Source organism: Homo sapiens, chromosome 1 (genome assembly GCF_000001405.40).
Source record: "Homo sapiens chromosome 1, GRCh38.p14 Primary Assembly".
NCBI classification, from domain to species: domain Eukaryota; kingdom Metazoa; phylum Chordata; class Mammalia; order Primates; family Hominidae; genus Homo; species Homo sapiens.
The window spans coordinates 39,336,755-39,362,563 of record NC_000001.11 but is presented as its reverse complement, the minus strand read 5'-3'; the positions used below and the strand labels follow the sequence as shown (position 1 = coordinate 39,362,563).

The 25,809-nt window shown below is 42.4% G+C and overlaps 1 protein-coding gene across 2 annotated transcripts in view, besides 3 other annotated features; it reads right to left on the bottom strand.

Annotated features, from left to right (window-relative positions):
* MACF1 (microtubule actin crosslinking factor 1) overlaps positions 1-25,809 on the bottom strand; it is a 402,972-nt gene that overhangs the window by 124,575 nt on the left and 252,588 nt on the right. The window contains exons 38-49 of one of the 2 annotated variants that reach the window (NM_001394062.1): positions 25,233-25,382; positions 21,847-22,062; positions 21,611-21,760; positions 15,354-15,587; positions 12,937-13,086; positions 11,546-11,779; positions 9,333-9,557; positions 4,671-5,189; positions 3,691-3,867; positions 3,300-3,423; positions 1,563-1,771; positions 887-1,204 (exon numbers count right to left, since the gene is read on the bottom strand). In NM_001394062.1, the coding sequence (NP_001380991.1) occupies positions 887-1,204; positions 1,563-1,771; positions 3,300-3,423; positions 3,691-3,867; positions 4,671-5,189; positions 9,333-9,557; positions 11,546-11,779; positions 12,937-13,086; positions 15,354-15,587; positions 21,611-21,760; positions 21,847-22,062; positions 25,233-25,382 (2,706 nt within the window). The remainder of the gene's footprint in view (positions 1-886; positions 1,205-1,562; positions 1,772-3,299; positions 3,424-3,690; positions 3,868-4,670; positions 5,190-9,332; positions 9,558-11,545; positions 11,780-12,936; positions 13,087-15,353; positions 15,588-21,610; positions 21,761-21,846; positions 22,063-25,232; positions 25,383-25,809) is intronic. The other variant, NM_012090.5, reaches the window with a different exon arrangement.
* Positions 3,014-4,213: an enhancer, noted in NCBI's record as "CDK7 strongly-dependent group 2 enhancer chr1:39824023-39825222 (GRCh37/hg19 assembly coordinates)". NCBI's record gives its function as "activates an origin of replication core promoter dependent on BRD2, BRD4, P300/CBP, MED14 and CDK7 cofactors, with strong dependence on CDK7, by STARR-seq in HCT116 cells {active_cell/tissue: HCT116}" and the evidence as "EXISTENCE:reporter gene assay evidence [ECO:0000049][PMID:35650434]".
* Positions 14,759-15,958: an enhancer, noted in NCBI's record as "MED14-independent group 3 enhancer chr1:39812278-39813477 (GRCh37/hg19 assembly coordinates)". NCBI's record gives its function as "activates an origin of replication core promoter dependent on BRD2, BRD4, P300/CBP and CDK7 cofactors, and independent of MED14, by STARR-seq in HCT116 cells {active_cell/tissue: HCT116}" and the evidence as "EXISTENCE:reporter gene assay evidence [ECO:0000049][PMID:35650434]".
* Positions 16,566-17,067: an enhancer, noted in NCBI's record as "H3K27ac hESC enhancer chr1:39811169-39811670 (GRCh37/hg19 assembly coordinates)". NCBI's record gives its function as "activates a minimal SCP1, AML or CMV promoter by ChIP-STARR-seq in naive H9 embryonic stem cells {active_cell/tissue: H9 hESC(naive)}" and the evidence as "EXISTENCE:reporter gene assay evidence [ECO:0000049][PMID:30033119]".

The following is a 25,809-nucleotide window of genomic DNA, read 5'->3' as shown; positions in this document are numbered from 1 at the left end:
AACGTTAAGTATCATAAAGAATAATGGTAATAACAAATATAGAAGCCCATAATGATACTCTCTTTTATATTTTTATAAGAGAGGGAAAACAATTAGCAACTGGTGAATCTAGGTGAAGAGTATGCTGGTGTGTAATGGACCATTTCTTCTGCTTTTCTGTAAGTTTGAAATCATTCAAAGCAAAAAGGAGAGCAAACCAAACCAAACAATGAGATTCCACTTTAATATGGAAAAAGTTAGAAAGCTGGATAAAGCGAAGGCAGCAATGCAGAGATACAGGAATGCTGAAGTACTACAGGTGGGAATGTGTGCTGGTACAGCCATTCTGGAGCTCAAATTGGCCACTACTGAGTCGAATTAAATTAATATATGCATATACTATGACTTGGCAGTTTTACTTCTGGATATATATCTGTGGTAGCTGTTAATACTTTTACCAAATATTTCTAGCTTTGCACCTTCTAGGTAAGTGGTGAGATTACATTTCCTCACCCTCTTGAAAGGTATAGGTGGTTTTGTGGAAAGTGCTTTGACTAATAAAATGTAAATAAATATAATATGCCCTTTTACCACTGAGGCAGTAATCATGAAAGCTTATATCAGGATGAAATCTCCATCAATCTGCATCCCTTGAGTGACTATGATGAACTGAGTGGCCCTGCTGATTTGGGTTGAACATGTAATAAGAGTGAAAAATAAATATTGACTGTGTTGCTTAAAAAATGGACAAATGATACCTAGTTTACGGGATCACTGTAATAATTCCCAAAGATAATGCAGGTAGTTTCCAGTATACTGACTGATGTAGTATGCGCTCAGCAAATGCTGGTTCTCTCCCTGCCCTTCTCTTCCCTTTATTCTGCTAACATGGCAGATATATCCTCACCTGGATCTGTTGGAAGAAATGTGTAATATCTTGATCTGGCTGATTTCCAGAGGCCAGCATCCGACTTTTGTTTTCCATGAACTGCTGCAGCTTACCAGAGAGGTGTTCAAACATCTCTGCCTGGGGTAGAAGCTTCTTTAGGGAGCTCTCCTTTTCTTGCTGCTGTAGACAGAGCTGTTCGAACCGCTGGCTCACCTCTGCCAGTTTGCCCTGCAGCACTGCTGCTGTAGTACTGTCTGCTGTCTCCATGAATCGGGTCACCATCTCACGGGTGGCCTCCAAGCTGCTCTTTTGCCGAGCAATGTCCTGCTTCAATTTCTGTCATGAAGAACACGTCTGTCAGCTCCTGGTTCACTTATTCCAGGACATCTGAGCCACAAACTAATAACTATATGCTATCTCACAAGGGGGACTGGAGGACTGCAACCGAGCCTCCAGAATACCACACATCTCATCACCTTAGTTCTCCACCCCTTCTACCACATGACTTTGCTATCTCCACTTTCATTCCAGCTCAACTGGGTAGAAATATCTTTACATAGATTAGTTATCATTTCTAAATCTTATTAGATGATTCACAGATATTAGGTTCCCTCTTGTTACTTTTTCAACATTATGTAATGATGGCACATAGCAAACATACCCTCTATGCTAGCTCTTGGGACACAGATCTTACCATATTTGTGGCTAAGGCTTCCTGGATGACTCCTGATGAGAGTGATGACACCTGCTTCCCTTCCAGGTTTTGTTCAACTTCCCCAATAGACTGCAACAGGCTCTCCAGGCTTTCCTGGACACTCTGAGATTGGGCAATTGCTTTCTGCAGCAGAGAAGATCGCTCAGCCAGGCTATAGGAGAGGCTTTGGAAGTGGCTGAGTATGGAATCTGAAAAATCAGGCCATGAAAAGAAAGAGTGGAGACAATTTTTGTATTATGCTTTTAAAGACTTTATTATTAATATTATTAAATAATAAATAATAAAAATTATTATTATTATTATTATTATATGGATGTGGTCTTAATATGTTGCCCAAGCTGGTCTTGAACTCCTGGCCTTAAGCAATCTTCCTACTTCAGCCTCCTAAAGTGCCTGGATTACAGGCATGAGCCACCATGCCCAGTCCTACATTGAACATAGTAATTGTAATAATAATTGACATTAAGACCAATAGAAGGAATAAGTTTGAAATGCATTAGTATCAGAGCCAAGTTCAATAAGCATTAGTTATTTACTGCATACAAAGAACCAGAAATTGTACTAGATGCTGAGGACTAAAGATACTTAAGTATCTTATCTGACATCTACAACTTAAGACTTTAAAACAGAGCATAGGCAGAGGAAGATGCATCACAATTAATGATAAAAATCAAATCTTAAGTGGTATATTAATACTAGAAGTACTGTCCTCGAGAAGCCCAGAAGGAAGAATAATTATCTTTCGTTTCTTTTGAGGAGTGGGATGGCTAAGCTAAGCTATTTAACATATGCATTACCTCACATACTTATCATTTTTTTGTGGTGAAAACACTTAAAATATACTCTCACAGCCATTTTCAAGTATACGATATATATGTGTGTGTGTGTATATATGTGTGTATATACATATGTGTGTGTGTGTGTGTGTATATATATATATATATATATATATATATATATATATATATTTTTTTTTTTTTTTTTTTTTTTTTTTGAGACGGAGTCTTGCTGTGTCGCCCAGGCTGGAGTGCAGTGGCACGATCTCAGCTCACTGCAAGCTCCGCCTCCCAGGTTGATGCCATTCTCCTGCCTCAGCCTCCAGAGTAGCTGGGATTACAGGCGCCTGCCACCATGCCTGGCTATTTTTTTGTTTGTTTGTTTGTTTTGTATTTTTAGTAGAGACGGGGTTTCATCTTCTTGGCCAGGATGGTCTCGATCTCCTGACCTCGTGATCTGCCCGCCTCGGCCTCCCAAAGTGCTGGGATTACAGATGTGAGCCACCACGCCCGGCCTGTATACGATATATTGTTATTAACTATAGTCACCATGATATACTCTTGGCTACATCTTGAAGCATGGGCAAGATTTCACCACGCTTGGTAAGCATTCAATAAATGTTATCAGCTAAGCAATAGGAAAAACTTCAGGGGTAATACAATGTAAGTGGTTTACTTGGGAAAGAAAAGTAGATGTGGCTAGAAGATAGATGTCTGGGGAAAAGGGACTGAAGCCAGATTGTGAAGGTCCTTCAATGGTGCAAGAATAAAGTTCATTAGAGGATAAGCTCTTTGATGACAATCTATGTCTATTCATGTTTATATTCTCAGCCTCTAGCCTGGCACCACAGATATTTGCACAACACAATGTGACATATTGCAGAATAGAGGTACATACTAGGAATTAAGGGAGTACTATTATACTGTTGCTGCTTTATACCTGTAGTTTCTTGAACATGCCTGTGGTCTGGGGCTGGCTCCCCTTCAATTTCCATTATGTCACGAGCTACTTTTTGGAGTTTTTCCACAGGTACTTGGTGCTCAGCCAATTCCTCCTGCAACTGCTGCTTGTCCATGAAAAAAACAAAAGAAAAACATCTAAGTAATCAAAGATGATTCTAGGAATCCGGAGCTACTGAACAGCTTTACAGAATAATTGTAAGTTTAACCATAGCCATAAATATTAGAAGCAAGTGTTTAGCACTCAGATCTTGTCCAAGGCATCCCAACCACTGCCTTTATTTTATGTAAGCATTTGCTTTATTTTGGGGTACTTTACGCCATGGAATACAAGGTCTTGACACCACAACACAGCCTGTGTCCTGACTTACCTTTGTTGTTGCAAGCTGCTCCTGGAGAACTCCAGGGTCAGAGGCAACAGTATCTGAGAGGAGCTTCTCCACGTTGGCCTCACAAGCCTGCATCCAGGCCTGCAGGCTGTCAGCACTGTTTTGGAATTGATGATACTGGCCTAACAGCATATTCAGGTGAGATCCTAATCGTGTACACTGTGCCAGAGAAAGAAAGGTAAGCAGACTTAAGCAAGGTCAGGCCAAAGGCAGCAGCTGCCCAAAGAAAGAGGCCTGGCTTTGTTACAGACAACTCACTGTAACTTCAGATAAGGGTATTGCCAGAACCCATGGATAGATGGGTAGCAATGATCTCTAAGTGTGGGTCCCCATTGTTTGCTCCATACTATTCACCTTGACCTTCTTACATTCCCAGGAAAATTTAATGAGATGTATGACAAGCTTCCAAAGAAATGAACATAAGGTTGCAGACAAAGGTAGGGGTTAAGAAGTGCAAAAAGTATTCTTTCTTGGGGATTAGAAGTGTTGGCAGAAGGCATAAGACAGGTAAGAAGAGCTGACTGGATTCTAAACTTTAGAAGAGCGAGCAAGTTCTTTAGATAGGAAGGAAGGTAAGGATTCACCCTAGATGCTCTGTGAAATAAAGACAGAAATAAAGACTGTGCAATTGGTTTAAATTTCCCCTGTGTGCTATGTCTCTTGGGAGTCCAAGTCTGCTGGTCAGGATACAGGAAGGGGAATACTTCCACCTTCACCATCAGTGTGATATACTCCTGCCAGTGCTAGGTATTAGGTATTAGCTAGCTATCAGGCCTTTGGGCTAGTACCTATGTATTTTACATTTTGTGCATTGTTTGTGAAGACCTTCTGCCCATGGTCCAAGTATAAATCAGCTCTCCTACTGTGTCCTGGAGTTCTTATTCTGAGCCCCAGACACTACCTACATTGTGTGAAGGCTGCCATGATTGTTTCACCAAGGATGCCAGGAACTGCCCCCTTACCTTTGAGTGGAGAGCAGTGTATCTTTCTGTTGCATCCTTCAACTTGTCCTTTACTAAGTTTCCAATTTCTGATGGTTCTTTGCCTTCCTTAAAACTGTTTTCCATGTCCAAGACTTTCTGTCCTGAGATAGTCACAAATCTCAAGTCTCCTTTGTGGGAAATGACATCCTCTGAGAAGCTTCCTTGCCGCTTTAGCAGGGAGGGAAGGGTCTCGGGGCTGCTGCCTCCCTTATGCATGTTCTCCAGCTCTTTCTCGGATCGTTCCAACCAGCTTTCAAACTCTTTATGATCCTGCAGAAATTTCTGCAACTCATCCTGAAGTGTCTGCACCTGCTTCAGTTCTGCCTCTGATTGGGCCAGGGAAGTAGAGTATTGTTCCTTTAGCTCTCCCAGCTTCTGTTGCAGCATCTGTTGCTCCTCAGGTGTGAGATTGTGGCCATGCTGATCCAAGAAGGCCTGAGCTGACTGGGTGGCCAGAATGAAATTTTGCTGCTGGGACAGCAATTCTTGGTGACGGGCCTGGTAAAAAAAAATCCCCCCAAACAAAGGACAATCAGTAGGCAATCCACAATAATTTGAGGTATACAAGACTGGACTTCATACTCCATGTGAGGTCTGCTTACATTCAGCCTTGGTCTTTTCACCCACATTGCTGTCAAGTCATACACCTCTCTCAGTTTTGCTGCATCTCACATTTTTCCCTGTTAACTTCATTTTATTCAGTTCAGCCCCTTGTTTTAGGTATAGCCCTTTAATTTAGATGCTGACTCTTAAGTTGTACTTATAATCTTCAAGGACCATCTACCTATAAGCTAGAAGTAGGGAGAGGTCTCTACCTCTACTCAATAGATCACTTTTCCAACTGCTCAGAAATCACCAATATCAGTCACTCTCTAAACAGTATGCCACATGCTAATCCCCTCTGAACTGACACGTATAGGACTTTATGGTTTTCAAAGAGATTTTACATGTATTATCTCATTTGCTTTGTGGCACGACCTATAATGTAGGTAGACAATATAATACCCATATTAAGAGTAAGTGAATACCAAAAAGACGTTATATATCTTGACTAAGGTCATGCAGTTTGTTAACGAACAGAACTGCAACTCAAACCTGACTCTCTTCGCTAAACTGTACAAATGGACAACTAATAATCATCTACATTAGTGGAAGGGTAGCTGAATAAATCATACATGTGACAATATAAAAATTGTAAGTTTGGCCAGGCATGGTGGCTCATGTCTGTAATCCCAGTACTTTGGGAGGCCGAGGCTGGCAGATCACAAGGTCAAGAGATTGAGACCATCCTGGCCAATATGGTGAAACCCTGTCTCTACAGAAAATACAAAAATTAGCTGGGCATGGTGGCAAGTGCCTGTAATCCCAGCTACTTGGGAGGCTGAGGCAGGAGAATTGCTTGAACCTGGGAGGCAGAGATTGCAGTGAGCCAAGACCCTGCCACTGCACTCCAGCCTGGCAACAGACTTGAGACTCCATCTCAAAAAAAAAAAAAATGCAAGTTCTTAACTGTGAAATATGTCACTCATGTGTCCATGAAGACTGTCCCTACTAGGAAAAGCCATGGAAAATTAATTCAATAATTAGAGATTAAACTGTATTTCTGGGTAATAATAAGTAATTTGTACTTTTTATTTGTATGTACTGTGTCTATGTGCTTATACATAGACCTTCTTTCTATTCCAATGGAATATGAGTTCTTTGAGGAGAGCTGTGAGTTTTTGTTTTGAAACATATATTGGGATGTTCTTCCTGAATCTAGAAGACAGTGGGAGTTGTCAGTGTTCCTTACTACCTATACTGTTTATGCCACTACTTAGAGAAGGACTACAGATCATCGTCTAGTTTTAGCCTGTATCAACAACAACCTGATAGCCTCAGCTTCCCACATCATTTCAAGAAAGCTGAGTGACTAGGAGGCTGATGCAGGAGTATCACTGAAGCTAGGTTTTTGAGACCAGCCTGAGCAACAACATAGCAAGACTGTCTCTTAAAAAAAAATTAATGAGGCATGGTGAGTCCACACCTGTTACAGTGAGCTATGATCGTACCACTGCACTTCAGCCTGGGTGGCAAAGTGAGGCCTCATGTCTTTAAAAAATAAAAAAAAGCTGGGCGCAGTGGCTCACGCCTATAATCCCAGCACTTTGGGAGGCCAAGGCGGGTGGATCACGAGGCCAAGAGATCGAGACCATGCTGGCCAACATGGTGAAACCCCGTCTCTACTAAGAATACAAAAATTAGCTGGGTGTGGTGGCGTGCACCTGTAATCCCAGCTACTCAGGAAGCTGAGGAGGAGAATGGCTTGAACCCGGGAGGCAGAGGTTGCAGTGAGCCGAGATTGTGCCACTGCACTCCAGCCTGGTGACAGAGTGAGACTCCGTCTCAAAAAAAAAAAAAAAAAAAAAAAAAGCAGAAGAAAAAAAGAAAGCTGGAATGACAAATATATCTTGCTCAATTAGATAGTGAAGTGGGAGCGGTACTACAACCTTGTCTGTATATCACCTAGGTGTCCTTCATTCTCACCTTCCAACTCATCTACCTATAAGGCAGTTTCCTTCCTAGAATGGAGATACCACTTCATTAGGTTGACTGCTGCCAGCAAAAGGTGTCAGAGGAGCCCTATGACAGCAGAACCATTTTTGCTCTGTCCTCTTATAAGACTACCAGGGCTTTGGGGGACACAGTATAATGGACCTTCGAAAAGCGTCATGCAAGAGGCAGAAATCCTATTAATATAAAATATGACAATGGTCCACAAAGGCCACTGAACACAAGTATTCCAGCTAAGCCAATATTTTTTCTATAAAGGTGTCACCACTAAAATATATGATCCATGTGTTGTAAGTGTCCTAAATATGTAATCTTCTTTCAATCATTCAATAGAATGTGCCTGTATATGCCAGTTGATGCCCTTGAAGATGGTTTACTTGGTTGGCTCACTGGCTTATTTCTAATTCCTGGCATATGGCAGCTATTCAGTAATTACTAAATGAATAAATAAATGAGTAGAAATAAACAGTAAGAAGTGACTTCTGCTTTTTTGTTTTGTTTTGTTACAGAACAGGCAGCCTGTAAGAAACAGTGTGCGTTTTCAAGCCTAGCATCTAGAGGGCAATACAGACAACAAAACAATATCGAATGAGAAATGCTACAAAGTAGGAAAGGGTATAAGAGGAACTTATAGGCTGGGCACCTGTAATCCCAACACTTTGGGAGGTGAGCAAATCACCCGAGGTCAGGAGTTTGAGACCAGTCTGGCCAACATAGTGAAACCCCATCTCTACTAAAAATACAAAACTTAGCTAGGCATGGTGGCACATGCCTGTAATCTTAGCTACTTGGGAGGCTGATGCATGAGAATTGCTTGACTCCAGGAGATGGAGGTTGCGGTGAGCTGGGATCGTGCCACTGCACTCCAGCCTGGGTAACAGAGCAAGACTCTGTCTCAAAAAATAAATAAATAAATAAATAAAAGAAAAGAAAGAAGAGCATATGGGGGAATATATACCCTAACTTTGGTGAGTGGTGGTGAATTAAGGGCTTCCTAGAGGAAGTGAACTCTAAGCTGAGATCTGAAGAATGAGTAAAAATTAACAAATAGCTGGGCCCCCTCCGTTACTTTATGCAATGGAGAAGCAAGTAAGTTCCAAGAGCATGTAAAGGCCCAGAGGAAAGTGAGAGCACAGTTTAGCCAATAAACTGAAAGGAATCAATATAAGCAGATGCTCAAGTATAAAGGAAGGTGACAGATAAGGCCAAATAAGTAGACTAGATCCCAGTGGGTAGGGGCTGAGAGGAGAGTTAACCAGGTAATCTTGAGGGCAACAGGGAACCATAAAAAGGGCTAAGCAAGGATATGGCATTTTAGAAAGATTCCTTAGTAGTAAGGAGAATGGACTGGAAGGTAAAAACCAAGAGGCAAGAAGACCAGTAGAAGCTACTATAATAATAACAGTGAAAGCAGACAGTGGTTCTAAACTACAATAATATCTCAATAAAGATGAAGAAGTATAGCTGACTTTGAAAGAAATATAATTACCATAAGATTTGATGACTGATTTGACATAGGAGAGTGAGAGAGAGAATGGAATCTAGGATGATGTCCAGTTCAGACAATGAAGTGGGAATAAAGGAAAGAGAATGTTTAATTGTGGGAGGAGTATCATAGGAAATAGGAGTTCCATTTTCAGGCTGATGTGCTTATGGGCCCAAGTTGCAAATAGGCAGACAGATTTATATACCGTTTTGAAGCTCGGGACAGAAATCAGGGCTGGAAGGAAATGCATACACAGAATTCATTAGTGCAAATGGCAATTACAGTGTTGTGAGTAGATGAGACTGCCCAAGGAAAGTATGTTCTGAAAGATAAAAAGAGGGCCTAGGATACACCTGGAAACATCAGTATTTGAAAACCTGGCCAGAGGAAAGTAAGAAAGATGGTCAGGGCAGAGTAGTATTATGGAAACCAAGGGAGAAAGTATTTCAAGAGGAGTGGCCAACAGTGTCAAAGCTGCTGAGACATCAAAGAAGATACAAACTGAGAAGTGCTCACTGGATTTAGGGGCAAGGTGATTGTGGTTACTTGCTCAGGGCAGGAGAGATTTCTCTAGCATAGTGAGGATAAGCTAACACCCTTACCTTCATCATCTCACATTGCTTGTCCAGTTTCTCTGGGGCTTGATTCACCCCCATGTAACCATCAGTGGTGTCCAAGGCTCCTTTCTCCAAGCTAGCTCCCGAGAGCTGCTCCATTCCTGGAAGGTTGGTCAGCAGCTGTCCACCAGATGATCCTACTGAAGTTACCCAATCCAGGAGAGCATCGATCTTCTTCTTGTTCTCTGCCAGTTCCTTTGCTGCTTTACTCTGAAAGCCACCGAGGTAGTCTAGTGAGAAGGCTTTACATACTCAATCATACAACCACAGGTTAAGTAATGGGGTAAAGGGGAGGAGATAATTTTATGCTAATTCTAAGACTGGGTATAAACAGTCTTTGCACATACAAAAGAGAATTCATATCTTTTAAAATCTTTTGAAAAATTATTAAAAATATCTCTACATTTCATTATATCTTACTGCTTTAAAAAAAAAAAAAGAGGCAGGACACAGTGGCTCACTTCAGGATCAGGAGTTTGAGACAAGCCTGGTCAACACGGTGAAACCCCATCTCTACTAAAAATACAAAAAATTATCTGGGTGTGGTGGTGCATGCCTGTAGACCCAGCTACTCAGGAGGCTGAGACACGAGTATCGTTTGAACCTGGGAGGTGGAGGTTGCAGTAAGCCAAGATCGTGCCACTGCACTCCAGCTTCGGTGACACGGCAATACTCTGTCTCAAAACAAAACAAATCCTAGGATTCAGAAATATTTTATTTAGAGGTCATTTAGTCCTGCCACCCCAGCAAGCTTCACAGAATCTTTTGAGGTACACAGAAGTGCCGGACTGGCTTGGTAGGGTAAGAAATAGCACAGTCACATTCAGTTACCGGGCTGCTCTTTCCTAAAGGAAAGACAAACTTCTTTCATCCTTTCCTCAACTAAACAGAACATTTAGCTCTTTTTAAATTTTTTCTCTCACCTGAGGCTACAGGGAAACATTTAATTCTTCAACTTGCCTCTGAAATTATATTTACTGGCTCTACATGTATTTTAATAGATTAAATAGGTTATGCCAAGTTATATATTAATCTATTTCAAAATTCATCTTCAGGTAATTTATTTTTCTTTTCCATGTTCTCCACTTTCCTCATTAGTGTCGGCATCCAAGGCTAAACAAAGAATTCAAATTCAATCTGCCAGTGCTGAGTGGGGTGCAGAAGGTCATTTGAGACTTTGGCTTCTCTTTGGTTTATCCGAGTGCCACGATTCCCATCGTAACTATAGAGGCAGCTCGGGGACAGCTTTTGGCTCACTAAGACTTCATAGATATTTTTCCCTAGTACTCTTAGATCACCAGTCTAGACTCATATTAAAATATGTCATTTGGCCAGGCATGGTGACTCACACCTGTAATCCCAGCACTTTGGGAGGCCGAGGCAGGAGGATCACTTGAGGTCAGGAGTTTGAGAACAGCTGGGTCCACATGGTGAAACCCCATCTCTACTAAAAAATACAAAAATTAGCTGGGTGTGGTGGCATGCATCTGTAGTCCCAGCTACTCAGGAGGCTGAGGCACGAGAATCACTCAAACCCAGGAAGTGGAGGTTGCAGTGAGCTGAGATTGCACCACTGTACTCCAGTCTTGGCAACAGAGCAAAACTCTGTCTCAAAAAAAAAAAAAAAAAAAAAAAGCCATTTGCTTTTTTTCTCCCCATAATAATACTCTTCCTCACTAAGTTCTTTCTGATATTTTTCAGTTAGTCAGAGGACTGAGTATACAGATAGCAAGATGTTTGGGGGTTTGGGGAGGAATAGGAATATGTACTTTTTACCAACTGTCCTGACTTAAACTCCTCCTGGACATTTCTTGTAAAAATAAAGATTCTTGTAAAAACACAGACTAGCCAGCCTGGCCAACCTGGTGAAACCTCATCTCTACTAAAAATACAAAAATTAGCTAGGTGTGGTGACAGGCACCTGTAATCCCAGCTACTTGGGAGGCTGAAGCTGAGGCAGGAGAATCACTTGAACCTGGCAGGCAGAGGTTGCAGTAAGCCGAGATCATGCCACTGCACTCCAGCCTGGGTGACAGAGATTCCGTCTCAAAAAACAAAAACCAGACTAGCTCCTGAAGTAGCCCTTCCTCATGATTCTGTGCATGCTATAAGCCTGTTTTCCCCTCACTGTCTTTTATTTGTGTTGGTACCAAAATTTTCTTTTTTGAAAAATATCAAGCGTCATAGCAGTCTATTACCTTTTCAGTCTCCTGCTGTAAGGCGGAGGTCACTGCTTCCTCCAGTTCCTTCTGGGCCACACGTGTCTCTTCCTGGAGCGCCTCATATTGCTCCTTAGCCTGATGAAGCTTTTCCCGAAGAGCTGTCAACTCACGTGGGCTCAGCTTGGTCTGATTCTCTTCCATGAACCCCTCAATGTCCTTGACAACAGTGGCAAATGAGGTGGCACGATTCTGAATGTCATCCTGTAAATCCTTAACACAAGAAAATAGGAATGGCAGAGCCTTCGACTTTAGTGCTTCTAAGTCCTCTAATGGTATAAAGATGGAATGGCTAGGATGACATATAGTCCTGTATATAGTCCCTAACTACAATTTGCTTCAGGTTTAGGCTTAAATCAATGCAAAGAAATTTGATTTTGTTTTCTAAGCAAATATTTAGTGAAGCCAAAAAAGGAGGTTGTCCATAAACATGAACATGAGAGATTTTTCATTTTGCAATGCATTATCCTCAAAGAGATCATTCTTTCCATAAAGAAGTGTTGACAACATGATCTTAGCAGAGTCGAGGCCTGATGGGCCCTTATACTCTCTTGGGTATCACTCCTTATCCTTAATGTGGCCTGCGGGGTCCAGTGTGATACAGGTCCCACTTACCCCTCCAACTTCAACTTTCCCTAATTTTCCTCTTGTTTTTTGCAGTCCAGTCGAACTAGCTTTCTTTCGGTTCTTGAATATGTTGTGCTCAATACCATACCCACCTCAAGACCAATATATAAGCCTCTGCCTGGTATGTTCTCTTCCTCCTCCTACCTCTTCATGCATTAACGCCTACATATCTTTCATTTCTCAAGTTTAGGTGACACTTCTTCAAGATAATCTTTTCTGAAATCCTAGACTAGATTGGGTCTCTCTGCTATATGTTCTCATATGAGTTTTCCTTCACAGATATAACAGTTAATAATTTTATGTTCATTTTTATAATAACCTGTATAATTTCTGTATGCCCTGCTAGACTGTGTGCTTCACAAGGCCAGGGATGATGTCTGTTTACCATTATTGCTAACCCTTGAGCACTAAATATTTGTCGAAGGAATGAAAAAATCACCAGGCATGGTGGCTCAAGCCTGTTATCCTAACACTTTGAGAGGCCAAGGCCACGGCAGGAGGATTGCTTGAGCCCAGAGTTCGAGACCAGCTTTGGCAACATAGTGATACCCCATCTCTACAAAAAAATTAAAAAATTAGGACATGGTGGCTCATGACTTTGTCCCAGCTCCTGGGGAGGCTGAGGTGGGAGGATTGCCTGAGCCCAGGAGATCGAAGCTGCAGTGAGCCAAGATAACACCACTGTACTCCAGCCTAAGCGATAGAGCGAGACTTTGTGTCAAAATTGACAGATTCACACTGACCTTCAAGTCACTTTGGTTCTTCTGCAAAGCAGAGAGATCCTGCTGGGTGGTTCTGCCTTGGTGGCCTGCCAGTGCTCTTTCTGCCTGTCCTACCCAACTGCAAAGATCCTCCAGTTGCTGGTGACAGGTATTTTGTTGTTTCTGCAGGGTCTAATTAAAATGCAAAGGGGTCAAGAGACATTTCGTAATTCACATTTTGCAAATACAAGAAACTCCCTGAAATGTAAAACAGGAAGGTTATATCTCAAGGATGGAAAAGTTGGTGGGAGACTAGAATAGGAAAAGACATAGAAATCATATTCGGAAAGCTCCCCTCATTTGGACAGTCCATTGATCTGGGTCTATGGATTGGATAATCAGGATAATTATGAGAATGTTTCTAGTTCAGGTTTTGGTTTGAGAGCTCCTTCACCAGACTGCTGTTATTATCTTTGGAAATGGAGAAGAAAGAGCCCAGATGCTTGAAATCCACACATGATAATGGTGATGATAATAATTTAGTGGTTCTGATCAATCCCTCCACTAGAACCAGAGATTTGCTACATAATATGCAAAAGTAGAAGAATTGGAGTAGAAAGAAAAATCAAAGACCTGGATAATTCATAAGTTAATCGAGCTTCTTAATAATTGAGCTGACTTTATAAATCAAATGTCTCATCAATCCAGAGACTCATTAAATAAAATGATTACACGCCAGGCATGAAGGGCTAGATTTGGCTATTTTGAGAAGGAAAGTGCCCAAGAATAGCAACTGGCTCAGTCCTTTAGGTGTCTACACTAATATCAAAGGAACAGGCCAGGCCCAAGGAGAGAGAGGGAATATGTTTCTGTGCCTGATCCTTTCTCTAGATTTTATCTCAGTTGTATGACATTGAAGCACCTGACTGAGCAATTGAGCATGATGTGTTCTCCTGACCATCCTTCTAAAACCATTTTCCACCAGTTTCTACCTTCTGATGGCGCTTTAGTCACCTGCACTTACAAACAGGTGCCCAAATTGGCCCTCTCTCCCCCTCTTTAGGACAAATAGAAGGGCTCTGGAAGAGAACTCCTAAGAGCTCTTCAGCTGTAAAACAGGATCTTCATGGGTTAGGATGGGTGCAGACTGAATCTGAAAAAAGCAAAGCAAACAAGTTAACACAGAGACATACACACACATCCAAGGCAAATATTGAGAGAAGCAGAGCATTTCTGACAATAACAAGGTTAATAAGCATTGTGGAATTAATTACATGCTCAGGGAGAATGTTCACATGCAGTTCTATCACCTGCTGCAGCTCAGGAGTCTACCCTGAATCTGGGCTGGGTCTTGTCTTAATGTGGCTCAGATGAATTTTACTTCATTAATTATCCAAAGGTTATATCATGCTATATAAACTCCTGAATGCGAGCATTGCACATGCTCAGTTTTCAAAGGTAACCTAAAGCTTTCCATTAATATATCTCAATTTCAATATAGTTGAAAAAATGAGACAGTAATACAGGACATATGGCACCAACTACCCTAATTCCCTTAAAGTCTGACTCAAAAGCTCAATTTTTTGCACAACATTTAATAAAGGAGCCCTTGAGACAAATTTTATGGTGATAATGACAATTCTAATATCATCTTGCTATATGCCAACTTACTATTCAAATAGCAGAAATGGCATGAACATCATTCTGGGTATTCTAAGGTTTTGATGTTACTATTAATGTAATTATGTTGAGTTGAGCTTTGCAAGAAGAGAGTTGTGATGGAAGATGGTAGGATGGTTAGTTTTTTGTTTGTTTGTTTGTTTGTTTTAGTATCATCCTGCTTCTACATACTGTTTTCCATGATTGAATAAGCGAATAAGCACTGGGCACTATACTGTGAGGAAAGGTGCAAGAAAATAATATTAATTCTTAAAGAGCCAAAAATTAATACGATTCTAATAAAATTTCCTTGTCAGCCACTTAAGGATTGTCAAGGAACCTTATGGTAAATCATTTGAAATAGATTAAATAGAATGAAACTGATTTCAGAACCCTTCTCCTCAAGAGCTCAGGGTATCTAGATGTTCTTACGAGCCCTCAAAACAATGCTAAAGGAGAAAGTAAAGTAGGGAAAGGACTAGATACATGATTTTCATTTGAAATTCAGAGACAATGAGATACAGCGAAGGAAAAGTCTCACTAAAAGAAAACACTTGCATATGTATACACATGTCAACACATACATTCTCTCACACATACATAAAACCAAAGACATGGCAAGAACAACAGCCAGAACAAGTGCCTCCTGGACTAGAACCATACTGGCCTGCATGACATGAAATTTCAAAATTGGTAAACCCAGGCTCCTGCAATCATGATACACAGAGTCTGGCCAGAAAACCCAATGACAGAGGACATCCCCAAAGACAAACTGAGCCCAGCTGCTGGTTCAGTCTGACCTTCACCAGGGCTTCCTGCTCCATTTGTTGAAGATGGCCCTGCAAGGCATCCACCTGAGCGGCAGTCTGTTCCAAAATGTCCTGGAAGGACCTCTGCAGTTCATTCAGAAGCCTCAGCATCTGTCGATTCTGCTGAGGGGACAAGTCCTGGGCATGTTCTGAGATAAAGAACTGAATATCAAAAGCAAGAGCATCCAGCTGAGCTTTCCTTTCAGCCATGGGCTGTTTCAAATCCTAAGGTAAATGGAAAAAGGAAACAAAACACAAAAAACCATGATACTTCCATTTCTCAGTTCATGAAGAAAACCAACAGAATCAGAGAGGCTAATTTCCTGTATTTTCATAACTGGCACTAATGATTCTAGGGCCAAATTAGAATTAAAGTCTCTCTTGGCCAGGTGCGGTGGCTCATGCCTGTAATCCCAGCACTTTGGGAGGCCAAGGTGGGCGGATCACAAGGTCAGGAGATGGAGACCATCCTGGCTAACACGGTGAAACCCCGTCTCTACTAAAAATACAAAAAATTAGCCAGGCGTAGTGGCAGGCGCCTGTAGTCCCAGCTACTTGGGAGGCTGAGGCAGGAGAATGGCGTGAACCCGGGAGGCAGAGGTTGCGGTGAGCCGAGACTGCACTACTGCACTCCAGCCTGGGTGACAGAGCGAGACTCCATCTCAAAAAAAAAAAAAAAAGTCTCTCTCACTTTCAGTCTCTCCAAACTCCTCATAAATTAGAATTAAGTTCCCTTTACTGGACCTACCTTGATTTCCAAATACAGTAAGCAGCTCAATTATTTATGCTAGCATAATTATACTATTGTTAATCCAAAATATCTGTGAATTTTTTCCTTTTGATACAGAGTTTCGCTCTGTCACCCAGGCTGGAGTACAGGGGCGCCATCTCGGCTCACTGCAAGCTCTGCCTCCCAGGTTCATGCTATTCTCCTCCCTCAGCCTCTCGAGTAGCTGGGACTACAGGCGCCCGCCACCATGCCCGGCTAATTTTTTGTACTTTTAGTAGAGATGGGGTTTCACTGTGTTAGCAAGATGGTCTCGATCTCCTGACCTCATGATCTGCCCGCCTTGGCCTCCCAAACTGTTGGGATTACAGGCGTGAGCCACCATGCCTGGCCTTTTTTTTTTTTTCAAACAGAGTCTTGCTCTGTTGCCCAGGCTGGAATGCAGTGGTACAATCTCGGCTCATTGCAACCTCTGCCTCACTGGTTCAAGCAATTCTTGTGCCTCTACCTCCTGAGTAGCTGGGCCTACAGGTACTCACCACCATGCCTGGCTAATTTTTTGTATTTTTAGTAGAGACAGGGTTTTGCCATGTTGGCCAGGCTTGTCTCGAACTCCCGGCCTCAAGTGATCTGCCCTCCTTAACCTCCCAAAGTGCTGAGATTACAGGCGTGAGCCACACGCCCGGCCATCAATCTTTTAAAAAAGTTTTGCAAAGTATAACATGAATTTCTGATCTGAGATGTACCTAATTGTACTTTCTTAGGTTCAAATTTCTATTTGTATCTGTCCAGCAATGAGTTACTGGTAGGCCAGTACTGAGAAAATATATAATTTGTTTATGATTCGCTAAAATTTTTGTTTTTGAGACAAGATCTTGCTCTGTCACCCAGGCTGGAGTGCAGTGATGCATACAAAACTCAATGCAGCCTGGACCTCCTGGGCTCAAGCAATCCTCTCACCTCAGCCTTCCAAGTAGCTGGGACCACACGTGTGCACCACCATGCCCAGCTAATTTTTTAAGTTATCTGTAGACATGGTGTCTCACCACATTGCCCAGGCTGGTCTCAAACTCCCGGGCTTAAGTGATCCTTCCACTTAGCCTCCCAAAGTGCTGGGATTACAGGCATGAGCCACCATGCCCAGCCTAAATTTTGATTTTCTGAGTAAATGATGCTGTTTATACTATTTTTTAAACTGAAAGATTACACTCAGACTTTCTTGTTATAGTTATATTTTTCCCTTAAAGTAGTAAAAACTGTCCAAACACTAAAATCATCTGTTTTCAGACTATTAAAAACAAGTAATCTTCCCACATCTAGTGATTATCAATTATGTTATACTGGATCTCCATCACTTTGAAACTGAGAGTAGATCAATTGAGAGTAGTCAATCCTGCAGAACAGGCAGAAAGGGCTTCTTGAATATTTATCATAATGTTACAGTAGGTAGTTAGGCAGATATGAGCAGGGCATGAGAGGCCCTGCCCACCTCCACATCACCTGATGGTCACCTCCAAGAATGTCAGGTGACCATCAGGTGACGGTCAGGTGGTTGTTCAACCATCTCTCTAAAATAATAATTGGTTGCAGCGACAGCAGAGAAAGGCAGGCTCTCAATAGATAGAAAACACCTAAAGCTGGTGATTAGCAGCTTCCAGGTAAGATCTCAGGAGCTGGGCGAGTGGGCTCAAGCATGCGCACTAAGAGGCAAAGTGGCAGAGTTTAAACTGGTATATGAACTTCCTCTAAAAACGCTCGACTGGTAAGGGAAAAACGCCTCAAGTGAGCATGTATACAACTTTAGTAAACACACTGCACATGCGACCCCTCCCAAGTGCTAGCAGGTCACTGCACATGCAGACAGCCCACCCCAAGGGAAGAATCAGGGGAGGAGAAACGTAACCCCTGGAAGCATGCCAACATATAAAACCCCAAGTCAAAGGACAGACAGCACACTTGGATCTCTCAAGTTGCCCGTTTGGCCCTCTTCCAAGTGTACTTTACTTCCTTTCATTCCTGCTCTGAATTTTTTTTTTTTTTTTTGAGACAGAGTCGCGCTCTGTCACCCAGGCTGGAGTCCAGTGGCACGATCTCAGCTCATTGCAATCTCCACCTCCCGGGTTCAAGCGATTCTCCTGCCTCAGCCTCCCAAGTAACTGAGATTACAGGTGCCTGCCACTATGCCCAGCTAATTTTATATATTTTTTTTAGTAGAGATGGGGTTTCACCATGTTGGCCAGGCTGCTCTTGAACTCCTGAACTTCAGGTGATCCTCCCGCCTTCGCCTCCCAAAGTGTTGGGATTTATAGGCATGAGCCACCACGCCTGGCCCTAAAACTTTTTTTCTTTTTTTTTTTTTGAGATGGAGTTTCCCTCTTGTTGCCCAGGCTGGAGTGCAATGGCGCAACCTCGGCTCACCACAACCTCTGCCTCCCGGGTTCAAGTGATTCTCCTGCCTCAGCCTCCCGAGTAGCTGAGATTACAGGCATGTGCCACCACGCCTGGCTAACTTTGTATTTTTAGTAGAGACGGGGTTTCTTCTTGTTGGTCAGGCTGGTCTCAAACTCCCGACCTCAGGTGATCCGCCCGCCTCGGCCTCCCAAAGTGCTGGGATTACAGGCGTGAGCCACCGTGCCCAGCCCTAAAACTTTTAAATAAACTTTCACTCCTGCTCTAAAACTTGCCTCAGTCTCTCCCCCTGCCTTATGCCCCTTGGTCAAATTCTTTCGCCTGAGGAGGCAAGAACCGAGCTGCTGCAGACTCACATGGATTTGCCACTGCTAACAATAAGACAAAGCTTCCTTCCTCTGTGAACATGATAATTTAGGAAACTATCACTAGAAAAACAAGGCTCAGACTGTCGTTCTCTGCTACAAGAGGATTCATATGTTATAACTAGGGGAGGGCACCAATGCATGAAATGCTCTATGTCTCTATGTTTTTATATCTCACACTATGTCATGGTAATTTTTTTCATGCTTGCTTCTTTGTAATATCTTAGCAAACAGATAAAGGCTGAATAAAGTCTGAAACTCTCTCCCTCAGTGATATCTTTGGATAAAGGGTATAAAAAGAGGAGGCAGGTCAACTCTTGCGTGATAAAGAGGGATGAGATTGTGTATAAGGTTGATCATGGACAAACTTTTATGTCTGCTTCTCTTAAGATTGGGGAAGAGGGAGAAGATAGAATAGAAGGAGGGGACATTTCTAGTTCCGTTCTGACATTCTAAAAAGTTGAAGGAGAGGGGTATCTCTCTATAGCAGAGGGTTGATAAACCACTGTAATACCTCAAATAATCTTAAATAGAACAAAAAAAGAGAACAATATTGGGGAGAAAACTCTCTGGCTCACATGTGTCTCATGGTCTTTTCTCTTATTGACTAATAAAAAGAATCAATTAATCTGGGGCTTAAGAAGAAGAAAAGCAACTCTCTAGAGCAGGGGGGTCAACAAACTGTGGCCCCCAAGCAAAATCTGGTCTGTCACGTGTTTTTTTGTAAATAAAGTTTTATTGGAACATAGCCATAGCCATTTGTTTATGTACTATTTATGGCTGCTTTAATTTTGAGTGATTGCAACAGAAATAGGTCTTTTGCATATGGTTCATAAAGCCTATAATGTTTATTATCTGGCCCTTTATTTAAAAAGTTTGCTGGCCAGACGCGGTGGCTCATGTCTGTAATCCCAGCATTTTGGGAGGCCAAGGTGGGTGGATTGCCTGAGGTCAGGAGTTCGAGACCACTCTACGCAACATGGTGAAACCCCTCTCTACTGAAAATACAAAAAATTTAGCCTGGCATGGTGGTGGGTGCCTGTAATCCCAGCTACTTGGGAGGCTGCGGCAGGAGAATGGAGGTTGCAGTGAGCTGAGATCGCACCACTGCACTCCAGCCTGGGTGACAGAGAGAGACTCTGTCACACAAAAAAAAAAAAAAAAGTTTGCCAACCCATGCTGTAAATAACCAATCAAAAACTCTCCTGAGTTCAGTCATGGTGGAAAGCACTGCGGCGATTTCACAGGAACTTAGAATTACCATTTGACCTAGCTATCCCGTTATTGGGTATATACCCAAAGGAATGTAAATCATTCTATCATAAAGACACATGTGTGTGTATGTTCAGTACAGCACTATTCACAATAGCAAAGATATGGAATCAACCTAAATGCCCATCAATGGTACACTGGATAAAGAAAATGTGGACACCACATTTTATGGAATACTATCCAGCCATAAGAAAGAACGAGATCATATCCTTTAAAGCAATATGGATGGAGCTGGAGGCCATTATCCCAAGCAAACTAACATAGGAACAGAAAGCCAAATATGGCATGTTCTCACTTATAAGTGGAAGCCAAACAAGAACACATGGATACTAGGAGGGGAACAACAGATACTGGGGCCTACTTGAGGGTGAGGGGGTGGGAGCAGAGACAGGATCAGAAAAAATACCTATTGGTTACTATGCTTATTACCCAGGTGATAAAATTATCTGTATATCAAACCCTCATGACATGCAGTTTACCTATATAACAAACCTGCACATGTACCCCTGAAAACAACAACAAAAAATCTCCTGAAACTGGTATGTGTGTGTGCACGTAGGATTGGATCGTGGTCAAAAAAGAAACAAAGGACGGATCCTAGATGCTCATTTATAAAGAGAGGATGAGATTGATAATAACAGGTCATTCAGTAGATGGTCTCTCAGAGAATAGCTGAAAGGAGAAATGATCATTATCACTGAAGCTCCAGGGATATGATTTTTTTTATTTTAAGACGGAGTTTCGTTCTTGTTGCCCAAGCTGGAGTGCAATGGCGCGGTCTTGGCTCACTGCAACCTCTGCTTCCTGGGTTCAAGCGATTCTCCTGCCTCAGGCTCCCAAGTAGCTGGGATTACGGGTGCCTGCCACACCGCCCGGCTAATTTTTTTGTATTTTTAATAGAGACGGGGTTTCACCATGTTGGCCAGGCTGGTGTTGAACTCCTGACCTCAGGTGATCTGCCCGCCTCGGCCTCCCAAAATGCTGGTATTACAGGTGTGAGCTGCCATGGCCGGCCAGGGATATGATAATTATAAACCTAAACATAGCTGACTTTATTTATAAAATGGAAAATCAGACTTTCTAAGAAAGATAAATGGCCGGGTGTGGTGGCTCACACCTATAATCCCAGCACTTTGGGAGGCCGAGGTGGGCGGATCACCTGAGATCAGGAGTTCGAAACCAGCCTGGCCAACATGGTGAAACCCCGTCTCCACTAAAAATACAAAAATGAGCCGGGCGTGGAGGTAGGCGCCTATAGTCCCAGCTACTCAGGAGGCTGAGGCAGGAGAATCGCTTGAACCCAGGAGGCGGAGGTTGCAGTGAGCTGGGATTGTGCCACTGCACTCCAGCTTGGGTGACAGAGCAAGACTCCGTCTCAAAAAAAAAAAAAAAAGATAAATATGGATATTGGTTTGCCTAGCAGGGAAATAAAATTGATACAACTCAAAGGACAAAGAAAATGTGCTTGAGTTTACCTCATACTGTTGGAGGCAGAGGTTCAGGCTGTCAACATCTATTTCACTGTTAGATCCCTTGCTGTTCAGAATAAGATTTTTATTGCCAACCCAGGCTCTCAGATCTTGAAGTCGGCCTTCTAGCTGTGTGTGCTGATTTAACACTTTAGTCTAAGAAATAAATGGAAAATCACATTATGAAAATCTCCCAGCCACCCAGACTTTGTGAGCCTTTATGAATAAAAGCAAAATGCTACCTTTTCTATTTCCACAGCATTCTGGAAGTGGAGTAGCCTGGAATTCCAAGTGTCACTCACAGAGCTGAGAGACTTCTGAAGATTCTTGGCATCTTTCTCTAGAGCCTTCAACAGTTGAGCAGGAACTTCTTGAGGCTGGCTGATGATAATCTGATTCACACACTCCAGCTCCTGACTGACCAAGGTGGTCAGATCCTTTAACTCCCTTTCTAATACCTGAGGGAATAAAGTGGAGTTACCTATAAAAGCAAGACTAGAAACCCTCTGGGAATCAGCTGTGAACACATTTCTCTCTCACCCCATGTCTACACACACTTTAGGGCTTAGAAAATGTTTTTATGTACATTCATTAGTTTACTTGGTTCTCACAATCACTAATTCATGAAGTAGGCAAGGTAGATGTTACTGTTCTGGATTTACAGAAGAGATGCCTCATTGCTTAAAAAAAAAATGTGAATGGTGTCCAAGGTCACCCAGCTGGTAAGCAGTACAGCCAGGACTTGGATTCAGGTTTTCTCACTCAGTGCAGTGTGCTCCCTCCACTGTAACTTGCTGCCTCTCTGAGAGTGTCATTATGCCTTTCCCCAAGGAGCAGCTGTGCAGAATTAATGTGCTACAAAATAAACCGAACGGATGACTCTTCCACTCTAAATTCCAGGGTCATGGAACCAAAGAATACAAAGCTAACCCCAACCAGCTTTTCCACTCATCTAGTCTGTAATATTCTGGTCCTCAACAGATAAGCCGGAAATAAGCTGTGGAAGAACTTGACATAGTTCTTTGGGGCATCATCCTCAGCCCCGGTTCAGCCACCCTACCCAAGGCCACACACTAGATATTGAGAGAACCAGTAAACCACTACAATCTGTCTTCATGGTGACTCCAATCCTATGACAACTCTTAACCTCCAATTTCAGTGAAATAGCCACTCTTCCTCCCTCTCAAGGCTGTCTTTCTACGTTTTTAGGGGACTGGTTCTATCAGTTATCACTTCCTCTCTCTTCTAACTTCAAGTTCTCCCTTTTAATTGGTTCTTTCTCCTCAGTCCAAAACCCATTCAAAACATTCCTTTCAATCCATCTCCTTCAAGTAGTGTCCCACCTCATTCCTTGCCTGTACCTAAGACTTCTGGAAAGAAGGATCTATATTAATTGTCTCTACTTTCCAACCTCCCATTTCTTCCAGCTGCAAGTTAGTTTATATCCCGTCACTCCACTGAAACTGTTCAAAGTCACCAATAACTTTCAGGAGCTGAATCTCCCCTTCAGTCCTCATTGTACTCAATCTCCCTGTGGCAGTTACTAGGGCTGACTCCTCCTCCTTTGGTTTCTGTGAGACGAGTGTTTCCAGGTCTTCTTCAGAGATCTCCAGTTAGACTTTTTCAATCTATTTTTGTTGTTGTTGTTTCTTTGTTGGTCCTTTAAATGGCAGTGCTTTTGAATATATTTTTCTTTCTTTTTTTTAAGACAGGGTCTCACTCCGTCTCCCAGACTGGAGTGCAGTGATGCATTCATAGCTCAATACAACCTCAAACTCCTGGGCTCAGGCAAATCCTCCTGCCTCAGCTTCCTGAGTGGCTGGGACTAGGGTGTATACCACCAGGCTTGGCTAATTTCTTACTGTGTTGCCCAGGATGATCTCAAACTCCTGGGCTCAAGCAATCCTCTTGTCTTGGCCTACCAAAGTGCTGGGATTATAGGCATGAGCCACTGTGACTGGCCCTCAGTATGTTTTTTTTCCTAAATAGTCTGTATTTTGTCCAAGTTTCTTTTTCTTTGTTTTAGCCTCTCCTTTTGTATCAGAAGCTTTCTGGATGCTGAAGTGGAGTGTAATGCCCTAAAAAGCTGACTATAAACTCTGCTGGCTGTAGTCTTCACTGAGGGTGATGGAGCTGGGCCATACAGTTGGGAAACCACTTATATCAGTACCATTAGGTCTTCCCCCTTGGGCTGGTCAAACCATAGCGGGAGCAAGGATATAGCTCAAAATTCAGTATGTATGTGAACTTCCAGTTAATCCTACTGATTTCTGTATGGAATATTTACCTTCAATAAATGGCTGCTCTCCCTAGTCAAGAGATACTTTGAATTACTTTCCTCAGAGAATGAACATCCAGCCTTTCGTTAGAGCACAGCACAAGCAGTTGCCAGGCTATGTGAAGTAAGTTGAAAATCTAAAGGTCTAATTGCTTCTTAAACAGACTTTAAACCAATTATAAGCCCGTTTGCATATCCATTTTCATCTCTTTCTGGTGCTCCCAATTTTTGAGGCTTTGGGGAGTTCTGTAGTATAAATCAGGTTGTTCCTTAGCTTCCTCCACTTTAAGTTGAGGATCTGGTTTACTCTAGCTTGCTAAGGTAGTTATCGCCTCATCCAGCTGCTTTCTAACTTCTAAAATTTTACTGCTGTTTTCTCCTCTCTTGCCCTTTTATGAATTTATGCACTAAAAAAAAAAAACAACCCAAAAAACCTTTTTCCTGATGTCTTAGTATAGTTTTAGGAAGTAAGAGAGATTAACTTACATATCTAATCTACTGTTTTAAGCCTCCAACATTTCTTGCTTGAATTACTGCAATAGTTTCCTAACCAATCACTCTGCCTTTGAACTTACCTAAATCAATCCAAAACCACGCAGATAACAATTGGTAGGGCCGGGCGTGGTGGCTCACACCTGTAATCCTAGCACTTTGGGAGGCCGAGGAGGGCAGATCACGAGGTCAGGAGATCAAGACCATCTTGGCTAACACGGTGAAACCCCGTCTCTACTAAATATACAAAAAATTAGCTGGGCGTGGCGGCAGGCGCCTGTAGTCCCAGCTACTCGGGAGGCTGAGGCAGGAGAATGGCGGAAACCCGGGAGGCAGAGCTTGCAGTGAGCCGAGATCACGCCACTGCACTCCAGCCTGGGCAACAGAGTGAGACTCCATCTCAAAAAAAAAACACACACACACAAAAAAACACAAAAAACAAACAAACAAGAAAAATTAGCCAGGCGTGGCGGCAGGTGCCTATAGTCGCAGCTATTCGGGAGGCTGAGGCAGGGGAATTGCTTGAACCCGGGAGGCGGAGGTTGCAGTGAGCCGAGATCACCGCTACTGCACTCCACCCTGGGTGACAGAGCAAGACTCTATCTCAAAAAAAAAAAAAAAAAAAAATGGTAGTAATTACATTGATAGCCAAATCCAAGGTCTGTTCAAGTTTATCCTGTATAAATTTTATCCGGTCTATCCAAATGTAGCCCATCCCATAATTATCTGACAAGGGTCTGAGATTGTTTACCCTAGAATAGAGTGCAAGCAGGTTCTAGTAAGTCTTGAAATCTTCAAGGAAGATGGAGGCAGCTATCTTGAAGCTGGTGTCTGTGGTGGAAGTCTCTGGGAACCTACCTTGGCCTGACACAGCAGATCCTGTAGTTCTGCCAGGTTTAGCTCCAAAGGTTGAATCTGTTTGGTCCTCATTTCAATGTTCCGTAACAGAGACAGATAGGATACTAGCTTTTCATCATGTTCTAAACAGAGTTGCCGGGTAAATACATTCTGTGGAGCCAAAAAGAAAGCTGACTCAGTTCTGACGTTCTCCTGTAAGTCAGCTTTAAAGCAGGCAGGGGTTTTTGTTAGACAAATAGAAGCAATTTTTACTGCACATAGAGTGGGATAAAATAAAACACTTTGTTTAAGTCATTTCAAATCAATAGACAAAGGTGATTTTACCAATTTCCTCAGAGAGCAGAAGCTCAGAGCTATCAATCTACAAGCATCATTTTACCAAAATTTCCAAAAGCTATTCTGATTTCAGGTAGCATCATCCTAGTATTTCTATTAGCTCGTTTCTATTTAAAACCCTTGCAGATTTCAGAAAGACATTCAGAGCCAATGCCTAATTTTCCAACAACTTTGCTACAAACAGATGATGATAAACTAAGTTATATCTTAGAGAATCATCTAGTGCCTTAAAATGTATAGA